General features: G+C 48.7%; 1 protein-coding gene and 1 pseudogene across 4 annotated transcripts in view, besides 18 other annotated features; one reads left to right on the top strand and one right to left on the bottom strand.

The window, feature by feature from the left end:
- On the bottom strand, window positions 736-16,126 carry TNFRSF10B-AS1 (TNFRSF10B antisense RNA 1; annotated as a pseudogene). Its single transcript, NR_038873.1, has 3 exons — window positions 15,935-16,126; window positions 3,299-3,370; window positions 736-3,107 (listed from the first exon to the last, which is right to left on the bottom strand). The product of NR_038873.1 is annotated as a TNFRSF10B antisense RNA 1 (transcript).
- Window positions 9,415-9,674: an enhancer, noted in NCBI's record as "active region_27107". NCBI's record gives its function as "activates an Ori minimal core promoter by ATAC-STARR-seq in GM12878 lymphoblastoid cells {active_cell/tissue: GM12878}" and the evidence as "EXISTENCE:reporter gene assay evidence [ECO:0000049][PMID:35858748]".
- Window positions 13,004-13,503: an enhancer, noted in NCBI's record as "H3K4me1 hESC enhancer chr8:22928365-22928864 (GRCh37/hg19 assembly coordinates)". NCBI's record gives its function as "activates a minimal SCP1, AML or CMV promoter by ChIP-STARR-seq in naive H9 embryonic stem cells {active_cell/tissue: H9 hESC(naive)}" and the evidence as "EXISTENCE:reporter gene assay evidence [ECO:0000049][PMID:30033119]".
- Window positions 13,825-14,119: an enhancer, noted in NCBI's record as "tiled region #12406; HepG2 Activating DNase unmatched - State 1:Tss, and K562 Activating DNase matched - State 5:Enh". NCBI's record gives its function as "activates a minimal TATA promoter and a strong SV40 promoter by Sharpr-MPRA in HepG2 and K562 cells {active_cell/tissue: HepG2 | K562}" and the evidence as "EXISTENCE:reporter gene assay evidence [ECO:0000049][PMID:27701403]".
- Window positions 14,232-14,418: a mobile genetic element, noted in NCBI's record as "partial".
- Window positions 14,232-17,945: a promoter, noted in NCBI's record as "PstI promoter fragment". NCBI's record gives the evidence for it as "EXISTENCE:reporter gene assay evidence [ECO:0000049][PMID:10777207]".
- Window positions 14,794-15,464: a promoter, noted in NCBI's record as "pDR5/-661". NCBI's record gives the evidence for it as "EXISTENCE:reporter gene assay evidence [ECO:0000049][PMID:11696376]".
- Window positions 14,901-15,070: an enhancer, noted in NCBI's record as "active region_27106". NCBI's record gives its function as "activates an Ori minimal core promoter by ATAC-STARR-seq in GM12878 lymphoblastoid cells {active_cell/tissue: GM12878}" and the evidence as "EXISTENCE:reporter gene assay evidence [ECO:0000049][PMID:35858748]".
- Window positions 15,011-15,034: a protein binding site, noted in NCBI's record as "ATF BS-2". NCBI's record gives the evidence for it as "EXISTENCE:protein binding evidence [ECO:0000024][PMID:21927023]".
- Window positions 15,091-15,140: an enhancer, noted in NCBI's record as "active region_27105". NCBI's record gives its function as "activates an Ori minimal core promoter by ATAC-STARR-seq in GM12878 lymphoblastoid cells {active_cell/tissue: GM12878}" and the evidence as "EXISTENCE:reporter gene assay evidence [ECO:0000049][PMID:35858748]".
- Window positions 15,182-15,203: a protein binding site, noted in NCBI's record as "CHOP site". NCBI's record gives its function as "positive regulation of promoter activity" and the evidence as "EXISTENCE:protein binding evidence [ECO:0000024][PMID:15994939]".
- Window positions 15,188-15,211: a protein binding site, noted in NCBI's record as "ATF BS-3". NCBI's record gives the evidence for it as "EXISTENCE:protein binding evidence [ECO:0000024][PMID:21927023]".
- Window positions 15,257-15,277: a protein binding site, noted in NCBI's record as "Sp1 BS1". NCBI's record gives the evidence for it as "EXISTENCE:protein binding evidence [ECO:0000024][PMID:14561739]".
- Window positions 15,268-15,290: a protein binding site, noted in NCBI's record as "ATF BS-4". NCBI's record gives the evidence for it as "EXISTENCE:protein binding evidence [ECO:0000024][PMID:21927023]".
- Window positions 15,303-15,323: a protein binding site, noted in NCBI's record as "Sp1 BS2". NCBI's record gives the evidence for it as "EXISTENCE:protein binding evidence [ECO:0000024][PMID:14561739]".
- Window positions 15,324-18,235, top strand: part of TNFRSF10B (TNF receptor superfamily member 10b) — a 48,899-nt gene continuing 45,987 nt past the window's right edge. For all 3 annotated transcript variants that reach the window (NR_027140.2, NM_147187.3, NM_003842.5), the window contains exon 1: window positions 15,324-15,604. Coding sequence is in view for 2 of the 3 variants with exons in the window: in NM_147187.3 (NP_671716.2) it covers window positions 15,461-15,604 (144 nt within the window). In the remaining variant the exon portion in view is untranslated. The remainder of the gene's footprint in view (window positions 15,605-18,235) is intronic.
- Window positions 15,334-15,339: a transcriptional cis regulatory region, noted in NCBI's record as "non-canonical TATA box". NCBI's record gives its function as "may negatively regulate promoter activity" and the evidence as "EXISTENCE:site-directed mutagenesis evidence [ECO:0005528][PMID:11696376]".
- Window positions 15,681-15,940: an enhancer, noted in NCBI's record as "active region_27104". NCBI's record gives its function as "activates an Ori minimal core promoter by ATAC-STARR-seq in GM12878 lymphoblastoid cells {active_cell/tissue: GM12878}" and the evidence as "EXISTENCE:reporter gene assay evidence [ECO:0000049][PMID:35858748]".
- Window positions 15,711-15,736: a protein binding site, noted in NCBI's record as "p53 BS2". NCBI's record gives its function as "positive regulation of promoter activity" and the evidence as "EXISTENCE:protein binding evidence [ECO:0000024][PMID:10777207]".
- Window positions 15,858-15,877: a protein binding site, noted in NCBI's record as "NF-kB site". NCBI's record gives the evidence for it as "EXISTENCE:protein binding evidence [ECO:0000024][PMID:15964798]".

Below are 18,235 nucleotides of genomic sequence, written 5' to 3'. Positions count from 1 at the left end.
TGGGAAGCCGCGCGTGTGCTGCCCTCTACAGGCTGCTCAGCCTCCCTGCTGCTCAGCCCAGCCCAGCCCAGGGCTCCAAGTGAGGCCCAGAAACCCATGGGCAGGGCAGGGGGAAGCCCCAGAGCACCCCCACCGCCGCTCTGGGGAAGGTGGATAGCATGGGGGCACGCCTGGGCGAGAGGGAGAGCGGGCTCTCCAGGGCAAGGGGAGCGGGATATGGGTCTCTCAGGTGCCTGCAGGGCTGAGCAACCTGGGTACACTTATGGGGATGCAGGAAAGGCCGGGACAGAGAAAGTGAAGGTCGGCCCAGGGCTGGAGGAAGCCGCAGGAAAGTGTCCACGGGACTCCCCCAGCGACCACGGCCGGCCACCTCTCAGGGACCCACTGACTCTTGCCCGACAGCTATCAGAGCTGGATGCAGGAACCCGGCTGCCCAGAGAACCCTCCTGAGAGGCTGTGGGTAAGCCAGGCCAGCACTGGTGTCCCTGTCCCCAGACGGAGGGGCAGGCAGAAGAGAGAGGGGGGAAGGAGGTATGAATTCCAGTCCCCAGGAACCTAGCACTTTAAACTCCGGGGACTCGGATGCAGGAAACACCCCCAGCAGGCCAAGCCTGAAGGCAGGGAGGGGAGGAAGGCAGGAAGGAGTCCTAGCAGGAACACAGCCTGGCCTCCTGTCACTCAGAGCTGATTCACAGGAGGAGGGGGAACAGGGGGAAAAAAAAACACACCTCTTTTAATATAAGATTTCATATTTATTTTGGTCAAAATTCATAAACATATGAGCATTTTCTGTATAACGTGCTTCCTTGTATTGTTTGATATTACAACATAGTCTTCAAATAGGGTCCATAGGGCAGAAACATCAAAGGACTCTAACCACGAGTGACACACTGTCTTAAGTGGCTGTCGTGTGTCATGTGCTGTTTGGCTTGGGGATAAAGCAAATCCCATACAAACCAAACAACTCCAGAAAACCCCAACAATTTCATGTTGTCAGGAAGCTTACTTTAAAAGAATAAGCTTAACAAACACTGATAAGGCTGACACTCTAGATGCATCTTCAAGGAAGGCCTCTACGGAAGGCACAAGGGAGCTGGGGCTGGACTGGCTCCCTCTGGGCTTTGAGGCCAAGTGTCCTGCACAGAAGGCCCTGCAAAAGCAAAGACCAGGTGGCAGCAGCACCTTGTGTCTTCCAGATGTGCAGGGGACAACGCATGGGACGCCAGATGGAAGTGGGAGAGGATGGAAGTGCAAAGACCAGAAAGGCTACCCCCTCCTAAAACTCCATGGACACAACACTGAATGTGCCTAAATCTTCAGGCAATTCTAACTTTGTCCCAGCCAAACCAGTCCCGGAACAAGACAAAACACATGGCTTGAGATGGAAAAGACCAAAATCCCTTGAACGACTACATCCATAATTTATCCTACCACTACTGGACTGCTATGGAGAAGAGTTTGCTGGAAAGAGGCTAAAATGATTACTGAAGTTTTTAAATAAAATAATAGAGCGTGACACAAGGACAAAGCCTTAATGTGTCAGCCATTCTAGGTCCTGTTGTCACAGTGTTTAAGAATTGATATTTCTGAGATGAGTCAGATGCTGCAGCTCAGGAATCTTTACCGTAAAATGCAGCTCAGGGGCTCAGGGTCACAGACCACCAGAAGCGAGAGGGGCCCATCCACTCCTGAGTCAGCAATCATTTCACACCATTCCCAGGCACCGTCCACTCTTCCCTCTTGATGCCATAGCAGATGCCGGGGCAGATAAACACCTGCTCTGCCCTGAGCCCAAAGAAGGCCCAAGATTCACTAATGTTCAGCTGTAATGGCACTTGAAAGAGAAGCTATTTGTAGTCCCAGATCTAACCTAATTCTCACTGTCCTCATCTGCTGTGGACAAGGACGAAGATGCAGTCCCATGACTGTCCCAGCAGGACAGACCAGACACATGGCTTCCCAAAGATACCAGGCTCTTCAAAATCCTGGGCATATGTAAACATCTACTTATAAATAAATATTTGTTTATTTGTAAATAAATACCTCTATATACCTCTAAAATCATCAACTAAGACAGACCGGCCCCTTGAGAAGTTGCCAGTCATCAAACCCTGGTCCAGTCTCTGGGCGTAGGAGGGAGAACTGGAATGTAGTCAGTGCCTCCCACAGAGGGAGGATTTCTCCTCCCATTGCTAGTTGTGTATGTAGTCATTTTTGACTGCTGATTTGCACCAGGCAGCCCATGTAAACAGCCTAATAAATACATTTCCTAAAATTTTTCCATGCTTACATCAACATGCACGAAAATAGGAAAACAGAAAAATGTACATCATATAGTATTACACAATACAGATGTTTCTCTACTTAAGATGGGGGTAAGCCCCAATAATCCTATCTTAAAGCCGAAAAATCTAAATTGAACCATTATAAGTCCACATGCTCATGACTTAGCATGGGGCTATGTCTTGATAATCTCATCGTAAGTTGAAAAGATCCACATTTAAAACGCATGTAATACCCAGATAAACCAGATATAAAGTTAAAAAACTCTAAGTCAAACCACCGTGGTATTACACCATCTTTAGTTGGATGTCATTAAATGCACATACCACTATAGAAGGAGCTTACAATATAAGAAAGTTTTTTCTCATGTGACTTCTCTCATGAAAAGGACTTCTGTCATGATGAACTGAAAAAAAAATGACATCCTAAAACTACCCTTAATACACAATCGTATAACTCTATGCCACCAACATCTTATATAAATTTCCACAGTTTGCTTATCACACACAATATTTCATAAAAATTACTCCAAGTGCGTTGACAAAGTTCTAGGACCTTTGGTAAGCTGCACCATATTGATAGCAGAGTTTGTTGAGGCATGGGTCAAGTACTGGACTCTTTCTTCCAGGCTGCTTCCCTTTGTAGGAGAAAAGGTAAACGAGGGAAGCTCTGGTTTCCTGAAGGGATTCTTTCACAGGCAGGACGTAGCAGAGCCTGCATTCACCTTCCTCATAGAAGAGATTTTTGGAGCCCACCAGTTGGTCCTGAATTATTTCCTTTGCATGTCTTTCTTTCAGTGTTTGAGGCCTCCAGCAAGGTGTTGACTGAGAAGAAGAGGAAAGAGAGGGATTTAGGGTCTTCATGCTCCAAAGATCATCAGCACAGGATCGGCATAGGACCCCCTACTTCCAGCAGGGAATGCTCCAGAAGAGCACTCTCAGCTATGGGGCTAGCAGTTAGGACATCGTCCCTATTGCCTCCATTCCTTCTACATCTCCAGGCACAAAACACTTACTCTCAGTGGGGTCAGCGCCATTCACTGGAACCAGCAGCCTCCTCCCATGACCCTTTCAGCTTTTGCCTGTTCCTGTAACACACAGTGGGGAATGCTCTGGTCAGAGTCAGGAATCCTGCAGTCTAGTACTGACCCCGATCACCAGCCAGCAAGAGACCTACAGAGCTTCCCCTCTCAGGTCTCTGTGGAGATGGAGACAAACCTCTGGTCCTGCATAGCTCTTGGGCTCTGTGTGCTGGTGACTCATTGAAACAAAAGTGACAGGGAGTAAATGCTCACTTCATAAGTGTTCTGCCCAACTTTGACTACTGTATACACCTGTGTAATAATCCTATGATCAAGACATAGAACATTGCCACACCCCAGAAAGTCCCTTTCTTCCCCATCTCATCAATTTCCACCCACCCTCACAGGAGAGAATCACTTCATTACAGAATTTTTACCAACAGAAGTCTCAACAGAGGACTATGTATGAGAGCGCTCAGGAAACATCTAACAAAAGAATTTATTCCAAGACTCCAAAAGTTCTTTGATCATCAATACTGTACCATATCAACAATCTAAATAAGGAAATAAAGCATCAGTCTCTATGGAGGCTGAAAAGACATTTGGTGAAATTAAACACCAATTCTGAATTTTTGGAACCCCTTTAGAATAGGAGGCTGCATTCTTGATGATGTGAATTTCTTTCTATATGAAACCAAAAGTGAACACCATTCCTAAAGGTGGCATGTTAGAGGCCTTCCCCGGAAATCAAATCAGGACCCAAACACCTGCCTTCCCTAAGCGCAGCTGAACATGGTTCTGAAATTTCTGGCCTGTGCAACAAGATGGAAAACAAAAATGAGGCAAGATTCTTGGAAGTGGGCAGACACAATAATCATTATATTCAATGTCACTTAAAAACCCTAAGAATGGGGCCGACCAGGCACAGTGGCTCACGCCTGTAATCCCAGCACTTTGGGAGGCCGAAGCAGGTGGATCACGAGGTCAGGAGATTGAGACCATCCTTGCTAACACGGTGAAACCCCGTCTCTACTAAAAATACAAAAAAAAAAAAAAAAAACTAGCCAGGCATGGTGGCACATGCCTGTAGTCCCAGTTACTCGGGAGGCTGAGGCAGGAGAATCGCTTGAACTCAGGAGGCGGAGGTTGCAGTGAGCCGAGATTGCACCACTGCACTCCAGCCTGGGCGACACAGCCAGACTCTGTCAAAAACAAACAAACAGAAACAAACAACCCTAAGAATGAAACTATGATATGGAAATATAAATGTATGTCTGAAGGAATGTTAAAAACATAGTAGATGCAATAAATTAGCAAACAGAATTACAAGGCTATGCAACTTATAACGATTACAAAATACCAAACAGCCATGAAAAGAAATAGGAATAAATTTATCTGAAGAGGAAAACAAATCACAACTCAGTTATAATAAAATACTTGACTTCAAAATGGATAAGGAAATACTGAATATTGATAAGATATTAAGTATTTCTAGATTAATTTTTAGTTTTAAGATAAATTGATAAAAATGCCACTGATTTTCTTTGGAAGGGGAGAATGGAAGAAATCTTACAATTATAAGCTTTATCTGGGTAAAATAATAAATTTTGAAAAAGTACGGAAGAGGTGTTTGCTCTCTTGGATATTAAAACACATTAGAAAGTTCCCATTGGAACATGCCTTAAAATAATAAGAGCCATCTATGACAAATCCATAGCCAACATCATACTGAATGGGCAAAAGTTGGAAGCATTTCCCTTGAGAACTGGAACAAGACAAGGATGCTCATGCTCACCACTCCCATTCAACATAGTACCAGAAGTCCTAGCCAGAGCACTCAGGCAAGAGAAAGAAATAAAAGGCATCCAGATATGAAATGAAGAAGTCAAAGATATATCTTAATGGACAATATAATTCTGTACCTTGAAAACCGTAAAGACTCCACAAAAAGGCTACTGGAACTGACAACAACTTCAGCAAAATTTCAGGATACAAAATCATTGTATAAAAATTGGTAGCATATCTATATACCAATAACATTCAGGCTGAGAACCAGGCCAGGCGTGGTGGCTCATGCCTGTAATCCCAGCACTTTGGGAGGCTGAGGCGGGCAGATCACGAGGTGAGGAGATGGAGACCATCCTGGCTAACACGGTGAAACCCCGTCTCTACTAAAAATAAAATAAAATAAATAAATAAATGTCAATTAAATCAAGGTGGTTGATAGTTTGCAGATTGCTTGCCACTTTGCTAGTGTTTTCATTTGATTGTTCTATCAATTGCAGAGAAAGAGCTGATTTAATCTCATTTTCATTCCATTTTTGCTTCAAGTGTTTTTAAGCTGTATTACTAGGCATATACAATTTGTGATTATTATACTCCCTGATGAATTAACCTTTTTAACTGCAAAGGTTCTTTTTGATCTCCCATAATATTCTATGTCCTAAAATTGTTACCCTGTGTAGCTAGTCAGGTATGAGCTGGGCAGGAGAGGGCTCCCCACCGCTTCTTACACTAGGAGGGTTGAGCGAACATCAGGTGATGGTTAGGTGGTTTTTAACTGTTTCTCTAAAGTAATAACTGGTTACAGCCGATGCCAGAAAAAGGCAGTCTCCTAATACATAGAAAACAACTGAAACTGATCAGCAACTTCCTAACAAGATTTCAGGAGTGGGGAGAAGCAAGGCAAAATCCTGGAAGTATGCCTACCTATAAATCCCCAAGTCACAAGTTCAGGCTGCACACTTGGCTTCTCAAGTCACCTGCTTGGCCATCTTCTAAGTTGTACTTTCCTTCTTTTCTTTCCTTTCCTTCCTGTTCTAAAGCTTTTTAATAAACTCACTATTGCTCTAAAACTTGCCTCCATCTCTCCTTCTGCCTTATGACCCTCAGTCGAATTCTTTCTTATCAGGAGGTGAAGAGCTGAAGTTGCTGTGGGCCCGTATGGATTCGCTGCCATCAACGTAGGGTAACTCGGATCTTGTCCACTGCTAGCAAAATCAACTACGTCTGATACTGAGATAGCCACGGCAGTTTTCTTGGCCTTAGGATTTGCATGATGTATCTTTTCCCATCCACTTACTTTCAACAGACAGTATCTGTGTCTTCCTTTTAAGTCCCATCTCGTATAGACAAGATCTAGTTGAGTCTTGCTTTCTCAGCCCTTCCAACCATTTCTACCTTTGAACGGTAGTGCCCAGTGGATTTACAGTTAGTGCAATAATTGATACAGTTGAAATAGACCTGTAAGTTTACCATTTAAGCAATGATTGTCCAGTCTAATTTTTTTGCTCCTTTTTCCCCTGCACATTTTAATGTTAGTTACCTTTTAGGATTCCATTTTAATTGGATACTGCCTTTCCTTTCTTTTTTTTTTTTTTTTTTTTTTTTTTTTTTTGAGAAGGAGTCTCTCTCTGTTGCCCAGGCTGGAGTGCAGTGGCGCGATCTCGGCTCACTGCAAGCTCCGCCTCCCAAGTTCACGCCATTCTCCTGCCTCAGCCTCCCCAGCAGCTGGAAATACAATTGCCCGCCACCAGCCTGGCTAATTTTTTGTATTTTTAGTAGAGATGGGGTTTCACCGTGTTAGCCAGGATGGTCTCGATCTCCTGACCTCGTGATCTGCCCTCCTCAGCCTCCCAAAGTGCTGGGATTACAGGCGTGAGCCACCGCAACCGGCTTATTTTATTTTATTTTATTTTCTTGAGACGGAGTCTCGCTCTGTTACCAGGCTGGAGTGCAGTAGCATGATCTCGGCTCACTGCAACCGCCGCCTCCAGGGTTCAAGTGATTCTCCTACCTCAGCCTCCCAAGTAGCTGGGACTACAGGCTTGTGCCACCACACCCAGCTAATTTTTTGTATTTTTAGTAGATGGGGTTTCACCATGTTGGCCAGGATAGTCTTGATCTCTTGACCTCGTGATCCACCCACCTCAGCCTTCTAAAGTGCTGGGATTACAGGCGTGAGTTACTGCACCCAACTGGATACTGACTTTTAATGTATACATATTTCCTGATCTATGTGCAAGTGCTATAGGGAATACAGTATACACTCAAGTGTTTGTATTCTATTTGAAGTTTTTTAAAAAATGAATTTATTGGCTGGGCTCGGTGGCTCATGCCTGTAATCCCAGCACTTTGGGAGGCTGAGGCGGGCAGATCACGAGGTCAGGAGATCCAGACCATCCTGGCTAACCTGATGAAACCCCGTCTCTACTAAAAATACAAAAAAAAAAAAAATGCCGGGCATGGTGGCGGGCGCCTGTAGTCCAGCTACTCAGGAGGGTGAGGCAGGAAAATGGCATGAACCCAGGAGGCGGAGCTTGCAGTGAGCCGAGATCGCGCCACTGCACTCCAGCCTGGGCGACAGAGTGAGACTCCATCTCAAACAAAAAAAAAAAAAAAGAATTTATTGAGGTATAATGAATATAAAACAAAGTGTACATTTTTAAAATGTGTAGTTTGGTAGATTGAGATGTATGTATACACTACGAAACTATCACCACAATAAGATAATGACATGTCTACCACCCCCCAGAATGTGTTCATTCTTCAGTGTAATCCTCTCTTCTGCTTTGCTCCTATGTCCCCAGCAATGATTCTTCTGCTTTTTGTCACAATAGATTAGATTAGTTGCATTTTAATAAGAAGTGGAATCAGACGGTATGCATTCTGCTTGGATTCCTTCACATGACATGATCATTTTGAAAACCATCCCTGTGGCCATGTGCAGTAATACTGCCTTTTCATGGCTGAGTTGTGTTGCTGAATTAATTGTGTGATATTAATGTAAAGTGTAAGAGACTCGCAACAAGATGTGTCCATTCATCACCACCCAGTATTCCTAAGCCTTAACTATGCATACTTTACGAACCTCACAGCAATGTTATCATCATTGATAATACATATTTTCAAGAAACTAAGAAGAAGTAATAATCCTTTACATTTTCCCCAACTTTATATTTCTGGTGACCTTCCTTTCTTCCTTAAGATCCAGGTTTCCATTTGGTGTCAGATCTCTTCTGCCTGAAGCATTTTGTGTCCTGCAGGTCTACTAGCAATGAAGTGTCCGTGGCGTCTCCAAAATCATATTCACATTGCTAATTCTTAAAGCCACTTTATGCCCATTTGCTCCTTCTTATTTGGTAATGATCTCAGCCAAATATCAGATTATGAAAACCAGAATCCACCTTGAACTTCTTTCCTCTTCTTACCAAACCTATTGCATCACCGGCCTGCATTATCATCATCATTTCCCTCAGATCCGCCTCAGCTGCCACTTGCCTCCTTCAGGATAATGCAACCTGACCCTCACCCTAACCACTAGGACCCATCCCAAATGCTGCCCAGGCCATGTCTGAGGTCACCCACCTAATCCACTCTGCATTGGGCAAACAATGATCTCTGAAGTGCTGATCTGATGGGCGATGTCTCCGGTGAAAACTTGACAATGGTCCTGGTGACTCAGGATGTGGGTGATCCTCTGCATGCTATTCAGATCCTCTGTTCTGTCCTCAGCCTGCCTGCCACACTCCCCACCTCTCACGTTTAACACACTCTATGAGCAGGCTGAGAACGCAACATCTGCATTAGTGCAGCTTCCTAGAATCCACGTTACTCATTCATTCACTCATGGAAGAAATATAGGCGTCTGGCGACCACACATACAAGGAGCCGTGGAGTATCGGGAACACAGCATGGCCCTTCCTTTCCTTAGCACAGTTTCCATTCACAGGAGCTGAGGCACAGCCATCATTAACCCCAAAGTCCATGAACTTGTGAAGAGTCTGGAGGGGCTGCTCAGGCAGAGGTGACAAGTACCATAAGTGGCAGAGACATTAGTGGACATAGAGGGGAAAGTCCACACAGACAGAATCCCAGACAAATAGTAAGTCAAAGTAATGGGGGAGGGGAGTAAAAACAAGTGAGGTTGGGACGAGGCTGTGCAGGATGCGGGCCTCTGATTGAGGGAGAAGGGGTGTGTGGCCAGAGATGTGTGGCTGTGTCAGTCCATAGAATTTTGTCAGACTTGAACTTTTCCTGGTGTGTGTGAGTGAGTGTGTGTGTGTGAGAGAGAGAGAGAGAGAGAGAGCGCAGCATGCCAGAGGCATGGTGGAGAGAGAAGGAGAATGAGAAGGGAGGAGGGTGGAGGCTTGCTCAGGTCCTCTCCTGCAAGGCTCTGCAGATCCAGGCTTCTCCCCAGATGAGTCATTAACTGGGGGTTTCCTGGTCATGCACATCCCCCACTGGTGATGCAATAGGTAGGTGGTTGCAAAGCCCAGTGTGGCCCTCACCCTCCCTCAAGCCAAGCAGGCTCCTCTTTCCTCTGCAGGGCACACACACCCTTAAAGCTGCCAGTTGACCCTGAACTGAGCAATCACTCAGAAGACCAGACATCAACTCAGACTTGTTCTCTCAGTCTGTGGCCTGGGATCTACTTCTGAGTTTTGTGGAGTTTCTTTTTATCCCTGTACAAGACCAGGGCCAGCCACTAAAGAGCTGCAGGAGTCCGGGGAAGTCACTTCCCTTCCTCTCTAAACTTCACGTTTCTCTCTCCTGAAAACAGGAAGTGGCATTAAATGAGCTCTCAGAGGCCTCCCAGCAGTGACCCAGAATGAGGTGAGCAGCAAATTCTCCCTTGGGAAAGGCAGCAGAAGCCAGTTGGGCAGTGGGTGCTGCTCCCCTGAGGTTGGCTCACCCATCCCCCAGCCCCCCACCCCAGGAATAGCTGTGTGACCTTCAGCAAGTTACTGAGTTGATCTGTGTCTCACGTAAGAGAACCAACTTAATTATAGTTCCGGCACAGTCAGGTTGCTGTCAGAATTAAATGTGTGAATTTGTATGAAGGGATCTGAATAGAGCCTGACTTATGGGAAGTGCTGTATTTCAGCGCACACTCTGAATAGCATAATCATTACTAAAAGAATTTTTTTTTTGAGACGGGGTCTCACTCTGTCTCCCAGGCTGGAGTGCGGTGGTGTGAACACGGCTCACTACAGCCTCAACCTTCCAGGCTCAGGTGATCCTCCCACATCAGCCTCCTAAACAGCTGGGACTACAGGTGCAGGCCACTGCACCAGGCTAATTTTCTGTGGGTTTTGTTGTTGTTATTGTTTGTAGAGATGGGTTTTGCTATGTTTCCCAGGCTGGTCTTGAACTCCTGGGCTCAAGTGATCTGCCCGCCTTGGCAGGACTACAGGTGTGAGCCATTGCACCCTGCCTACCCTGGCCCATTGACTATTATGAATTAAAGGCTATTGAAAAACAGCAGGTGCATCGCTGGCAAAAGTATACTTGTGTAACGAACTTGCACATTCTGCGCATGTATTTCAGAACTTAAAGTAAAAATAAAATAATAAAGTAGGCCGGGCGTGGTGGCTCACGCCTGTAATCCCAGCACTTTGGGAGGCCGAGGCAGGTGGATCACAAGGTCAGGAGATAGAGACCAGCCTGGCTAACATGGTGAAACCCTGTCTCTACTAAAAATACAAAATTTAGCCGGGTGTGGTGGCGGGCACCTGTAGTCCCAGCTACTTGGGAGGCTGAGGCAGGAGAATGGCGTGAACCCAGGAGGCGGAGCTTGCAGTGAGCTAAGATCATGCCACTGCACTCCAGACTGGGCGACACAGCAAGACTCTGTCTCCAAAAAATTAAAAAAAAAATAATAAAGTATTCAGGGATAAAGAGAGAAAAATAAATTTAGATTGTATACATATGTAAAATATATTTTAAAAGGTAAGCTTGTCTTTTTTATTCCTTAAAGGAGCAGATATTAAAAAAAAAAGAATAGAATAACTCATCTTTTTAGCCTCCACATATTTACTTGCTTCTTCCCAAGTTACTTGGTCTAATTCAGTATATAAGTAACTGACTCTCACTGCTTTTTCTGTGCCATGTAAAACTTGCATTGTATTAATTTGTGTGCTTTTCTCCTGTGGACCTGTCTTATGTCAACTTAATTCTCAGGCCCAGCCAAAAAAAAAATACCCTTAAAGGGAGCTTAGCTTGCCTCCATGACCCTCAATGGTGGCTGTAATCAAACCACATCTTCCAGGCAAACAATACCACATCCTATGGCCTTGCAATGGCATGGCCTCCCTCCAGCACAGCCTCTCTGGAGGAGGGGGAGGCAAGGGTGGTGAGATCTCAGGCCTCCCTCATGCTACCTCCTATTAGTTATATGACCCCTGGTGTCACCTCTCCCACCACACTGTAGGCTCCAGGGAGTAGGATTCACATGGGGTTCATTTGTCCTCCCTGCCTTCAGCAGACTCCAGGCACAGGTGTTCCCAGAGTAAAGGGCTCACTGTCTGCTTCCTGGGTGAATCATTCTCCCCGCAAACCCATGAGGTGAGTGCAGTCGTGGCTTCAGCTCACCGCCTGACAGGCTCCAGGCTGTAGCACAGGGAGGGCCCTGTGGACTCTGCTGAGGAACCATACGAGCTCCCAGAGGCCAAGTGCAGGACAGAGAATAGAGAAGCAGCTGCTCAGAGAACTCTAGCCCTGTAGAGGTGCAAATATGGCTGCTATTATACAGAAGGTGAGGCCAAAAATGCTGGAGACACTGCTCCTGAATCTCAGTTTTGCCACTTGTAAAACAGGGAAAACAACCTACTCTCATGTCCCCAGGTTGTTAGGAAAATCCACTACATGAAGATGTGCAGTCTCTGGCTGGGAGCAGGACACCAGCTGCCCAACAGCACAGGCTCAGGGCATGGCACTGTCTCCACTGTCCCCATCCCCAACCTGGAAGCTAGAGCCTCGCTGCCCTGCCACTTCTGGATGCAGGACAGAGAACCGGAACTGGGACTGTGGTCTCTCAGTAGAGGCTGTGAACAGCCATCTGTGGCCACACGGATTGAGACCTTTCCTGCTCACTCTTCAAACTGGGGCACCGGCTGGGTGCCCAACAGAAAGACAATTGGAAGAGTGGCAGGTAAACCAGGCTGTGGCCCTGCAGTGCCATCACCGTCCTCATTTGAATTCTGGCTCGTCTGTTCCTCTACGGCCCCTCCGCATGGCGCTCCACCCCAGTCTTCAGAAATTTCTGCCTCAAGCTCAGGGAGCTGGTACTGAGGTACAGGTAGGAGAAGGTGCAGCCTCTGCTGAGTGGAGGACATGTGCCCTGGGGATCCAGAGTCTAGAGTGACTGACACCAGCCCTGCAATTTGTCCTCCTAGACCTGTTAACAGAGCCTGCAGAAGTTTACACAGGGCTGCTGAAGATTTTTATCCCCTCATTTTACAGGAAGGAGCTGGGGCCATACCAGAGTCAGAGCTGGACCGGGAGCACGGCAGGGCCCAGCCATCCACAGCCTCCAATTTCAGTACTCTCTAACAACCTGAGAGCCTGAGCCTTCGGATCTTCTTGATTCCTACTTTGATAAAGAGAGGGATGGGGTTGGAAGGACCTGGCATAGAGATTGGACCAGTCCGGCATTGACAGAGCCAGGACCTGGGGTCCGGAACTGAGCTCAGCTCCAGGCTCATCTGAAGTCACCCTGACAGCCTGAGGATGGAGACCTTATTTCCATTAACAGGCATGGCGGTTGGCAGGGACTGGCCCCAGCTGAGCACGGTTTTCCAAGTACACAGCTGGGAATTAAGTCTTCTCTGCCGCCCTCCCCTGTAGTCTTGCCTGGATCCCCCCAGTCATCTACTCCCAGTACCAAAAACTCCTGTATTCTTGAAAATCCGTAGTACTGAGAGGTGACAGCTTGCTGGCAGTCCTCAACAGCCCTCGCTCGCTCTCGGCGCCTCCTCTGCCTGGGCTCCCACTTTGGCGGCACTTGAGGAGCCCTTCAGCCCACCGCTGCACTGTGGGAGCCCTTTTCTGGGCTGGCCAAGGCTGGAGCCCGCTCCCTCAGCTTGCACGGAGGTGTGGAGGGAGAGGCGCGAGCGGGAACCGGGGCTGCGCGCGCGGCACTTGCGGGCCAGCTGGAGTTCCGGGTGGGCGTGGGCTCGGCGGGCCCTGCACTCGGAGCAGCCGGCCGGCCCTGCCGGCCCCGGGCAATGAGGGGTTTAGCACCCGGGCCAGCGGCTGCGGAGGGTGTACTGGGTCCCCCAGCAGTGCCGGCCCACTGGCGCTGCGCTTGATTTCTCGCCGGGCCTTAGCTGCCTTCCCGACGGGCAGGGCTCGGGACCGCCATGCCTGAGCCTCTCACCCCCTCCGTGGGCTCCTGTGCAGCCGGAGCCTCCCCGACGAGCACCTCCCCCTGCTCCAGGGCGCCCAGTCCCATCGACCACCCAAGGGCTGAGGAGTGCGGGCGCACGGCGCGGGAGCACGGCGCGGGACTGGCAGGCAGCTCCACCTGCAACCCCGGTGCGGGATCCACTGGGTGACGACACCTGGGCTCCTGAGTCTGGTGGGGACGTGGAGAACCTTTATGTTTAGCTAAGGGATTGTAAATACACCAATTGGCACTGTGTATCTAGCTCAAGTTTTGTAAACACACCAATCAGCACCGTGTGTCTAGCTCAGGGTTTGTGAATGCACCAATTGACACTCTGTATCTAGCTAGTCTGGTGGGGCCTTGGAGAACCTTTGTGTCCACACTCTGTATCTAGCTAATCTGGTGGGGAAGTGGAGAACATTTGTGTCTAGCTCAGGGATTGTAAACCACCAATCAGCGCCCTGTCAAAACAGACCACTCCGCTCTACCAATCAGCAGGGTGTGGGTGGGGCCAGATAAGAGAATAAAAGCAGGCTGCCAGAGCCAGCAGTGGTAACACTGTGGAAGCTTCCTTCTTTCCCTCTGCAATAAATCTTGCTACTGCTCACTCTTTGGGTCCACACTGCCTTTATGAGCTGTAACACTCACCTTGAAGGTCTGCAGCTTCACTCTTGAAGCCAGCGAGACCACGAGCCCACCAGGAGGAAAGAACAACTCCAGACCCACTGCCTTAAGAGCTGTAACACTCACTGGGAAGGTCTGCAGCTTCACTCCTGAGCCAGTGAGACCACGAACCCACCAGAAGGAAGAAACTCCGAACACATCCGAACATCAGAAGGAACAAACTCCAGACACGCCGCCTTTAAGAACTGTAACACTCACCGCGAGGGTCCGAGGCTTCATTCTTGAAGGCAGTGAGACCAAGAACCCACCAATTCCGGACACAGTACCATGAAGGAATGAAAATACATAACAATGTGATGTATCATGTTTTATTTCCTAGACTAGTGACAAATGAAAGCTAAGTGTAGCAAGGGTGCAGGGACACAGGCACATTTGTGGACTAGGTGTGAGTGTAAGCTGGGTTCGATGGTCTTTTGGCCAACATAGTGAACCCCTGTGTCTACTAAAAATACAAAAATTAGCCAGGCGTGGTGGTGCAGGCCTGTAGTCCCAGCTACATGGGAGGCTGAGGTGGGAGTATCGCTTGAACCTGGGAGACGGAAGTTGCAGTGAGCCGGGATCACACCACCGCTCACCAATCTGAGCCACAGAGAGACTGTCTCAAAAAATAAACCACAAGGAAGGGAGGTAGGGGGAGGGGGAGGGAGGGAGGAAAGAGAAAGAGAGAAAGGAAGGAAAGAGAAAGCAGGAAGGACGGAAAGAAGACGAAAGAACGAAAGAAAACGAAAGAAAAAAGGAAAGAAGAGAGAAGGAGAGAACAGAAGGGGCAGGTGCCCCTGGGAAGGGGAGAAGATCAAGACGCGCCTGGAAAGCGGACTCTGAACCTCAAGACCCTGTTCACAGCCAAGCGCGCGACCCCGGGAGGCGTCAACTCCCCAAGTGCCTCCCTCAACTCATTTCCCCCAAGTTTCGGTGCCTGTCCTGGCGCGGACAGGACCCAGAAACAAACCACAGCCCGGGGCGCAGCCGCCAGGGCGAAGGTTAGTTCCGGTCCCTTCCCCTCCCCTCCCCACTTGGACGCGCTTGCGGAGGATTGCGTTGACGAGACTCTTATTTATTGTCACCAACCTGTGGTGGAATTTGCAGTTGCACATTGGATCTGATTCGCCCCGCCCCGAATGACGCCTGCCCGGAGGCAGTGAAAGTACAGCCGCGCCGCCCCAAGTCAGCCTGGACACATAAATCAGCACGCGGCCGGAGAACCCCGCAATCTCTGCGCCCACAAAATACACCGACGATGCCCGATCTACTTTAAGGGCTGAAACCCACGGGCCTGAGAGACTATAAGAGCGTTCCCTACCGCCATGGAACAACGGGGACAGAACGCCCCGGCCGCTTCGGGGGCCCGGAAAAGGCACGGCCCAGGACCCAGGGAGGCGCGGGGAGCCAGGCCTGGGCCCCGGGTCCCCAAGACCCTTGTGCTCGTTGTCGCCGCGGTCCTGCTGTTGGTGAGTCCCCGCCGCGGTCCCTGGCTGGGGAAGAGCGTGCCTGGCGCCTGGAGAGGGCAGGGAGAGAGGGGGACACGGCGGGGGTGCGTGGCCCGGGTCGCCTGCGGCCGGGCATGTCCGGGCAAGACGCACCAGTCGTCGGAGTCGGGGGAAGAGATGGGTCCCCGGGTTGGGCAGGAGCGACCTGGGCCGCCAGGGAACAGAGCGCGCGCTCCACTTGGTGTAAATTCCCGAATCCAGTGGGGGAGGGCGACAAGGAGGGAATTCCCGAGTAAGCTGCGTGAAGCCACGGAGAGGTCGTCGGACTTTGATTTTGTTTTCTTTCCTTACTTTCTGTTTCTTTCTCTTTTTCTCTTTCTTCCTTTCTTTCCCTCCCTTCCTTCCTCGCTCAGTTCCTGCCTTAATTTCTTTTTCTTTTGCGCCTTCGAATGAATTCCTAAAGGCGCTCATTGCAGATCGCTTTGAACCTGCGGCCGGCGAAGAACTCCCCTGTGGTCGCTGCGGCCCAGTGGTTCCGTTCCGTGCGCGGGAGTCGTCGCGGGCGCAGCTGGAGAGGCCCCTTCCCCTCCTTAGCGGCTGCGCCCCTACGCGTGCGGGGCCGCTCATCGCCAATGCCATTGTTTGGGGTTCCTTGGGAAAACGAGATTTAGGAGAAGGGAGTTGTGGCACTTGGGGCCTGACCTGCTTGATAATAGCAGCTGCATTTTGGCCTGGGAAGAGCCTTTCTTGCCACCTCTTGGCAAGTATCCGTGATAATGGGGAAGGGACAAAGAGTCGGCTTTGTAGGGAACAGCATGGTGTGCTCAGCGCCTGGAACTGCGCTTGGGGCCAGGAGAGGTTCTGAATCATCACATTTTACAGAGGAAGAGACCGCAGCTCAGAGTGGGGAAGTGTGTGGGCCTAGACCTAACTCAAGACTGTACAGAGGGGCTGGAAGGGAGAGGAGGAACAGTGAAAGGAAGGTCAAGAGAATGCTGGTGTTGACCTAGAAGAATGTCAGTGTGAAGCATTGGAGTTTCATGGGATATTGTTACACACCTCATGTTTTCACTGTTTCCGCCCCACACCACAGTATGTCCTTGGTCTCACCTCTGAGTGGAGGGAGGACCTAACTGTCCTAGTGAGGAGAGTGTACAGGGGCCTCTGCCTCCCCCTCCTGCTGTGGTTTCTGTGGGCCTAGGTCCCCAGGGCATCTTGCCTCTCTTTGGGTGGTGGATCTTTGGTCTCTGGCTGCTTTTAAAGATTTTTCTTAGCACTGGTTTGCAGTGATTTGGTTTGTTTGCTCTGTTGTGGGGTTTTTTTTTTATCTCTATAAAGAATTTTTTGGATTTTTGGCTTTAGACTTTCATGTTCTTTCTACTTGGAAGATTTTTCTGTAAAGAAAGCCACAACTGGGTTGTGTTGAATTTCTTGGATTTGGGGTTTTAGAGTTTATGTTCTCCTTGGAGACTTTTCTGTAAAGAAAGCCACAACAGCCGGGTCTGGTAGCTCATGCCTGTAATCCCAGCACTTTGGGAGGCCGAGGCGGGCAGATCACATGAGGTCAGGGATTCGAGACCAGCCTGACCAACATGGTGAAACCCCGTCTCTACTAAAAATACAAAATTAGCTGGGTGTGGTGGTGGGCACCTGCAATCCCAGCTACTTGGGAGGTTGAGGCAGGAGAATCACTTGAACCTGGGAGGCAGAAGTTGCAGTGAGCAGAGATGGCGCCACTGCACTCCAGCCTGGGAGACAAGAGCAAGACTCCAACTCAAAAAAAAGAAAGAAAGAAAGCCACAACAGAGTTATGTTGAATTTCTTGGATTTGGGGTTTTAGAGTTTATGTTTTTGTTTGTTTGTTTGTTTGTTTTGAGATGGAGTCTTGCCTCTGTCGCCTAGGCTGGAGTGCAGTGGTGGGATCTCAGCTCACTGCAACCTCTGCCTCCTGGGTTCACGCCATTCTCCTGCCTCAGCATCCCGTGTAGCTGGGACTACAGGCATGCACCACCACGCCCAGCGAACTTTTTGTATTTTTAGTAGAGACGGGGTTTCACCGTGTTAGCCAGGATGGTCTGGCTCGTGATCTGCCCGCCTCAGCCTCCCAAAATGCTGGGATTACAGGGGTGAGCCACCACGCCCAGCCGAGTTTATGTTCTACTTGGAAGATTTTCAGCCATTATTTCTTCAAATACTCTGTCTCTTCTGGTGACTGAGATCTTATTATATTTACGTTAGAATGTTAGATTTTGTATCAGAGCTAACTTAGTATCTGTTCTTTTTTTTCCCCCATCATTTTCTATGTTTCACTTTGGACATTTCCCTGTGAGGGCTCTTCAAGTTCATTGATCTGCTTCTGCAGAATCTAACCTGCTGTTAATCTCATCTACTGTATATCAGATATATATTTTTTGAACTTTAGAAGTTCTCTTTTGGCATTTTTAATATCTTCCATCTATTTCCTGGTCATCTTTGTGTTTTTCTTTTTTGAGACAGGGTCTTACTCTGTCACCCAGGCTGGAGTGCAGTGGCACAGTCAGAGTTCACTGCAGCCTCAACCTCTTGGGCTCAAGTGATCCTCCCACCTCGGCCTCCCAAGTAGCTGGGACCACAGGCACTTGCAACCACACCTGGCTAATTTTTGTATTTTTA

This window comes from Homo sapiens, chromosome 8 (genome assembly GCF_000001405.40).
Source record: "Homo sapiens chromosome 8, GRCh38.p14 Primary Assembly".
Lineage (NCBI taxonomy): Eukaryota > Metazoa > Chordata > Mammalia > Primates > Hominidae > Homo > Homo sapiens.
Note: the sequence above shows the minus strand (reverse complement) of the source record. Positions and strands in the feature narration are given on the sequence as shown.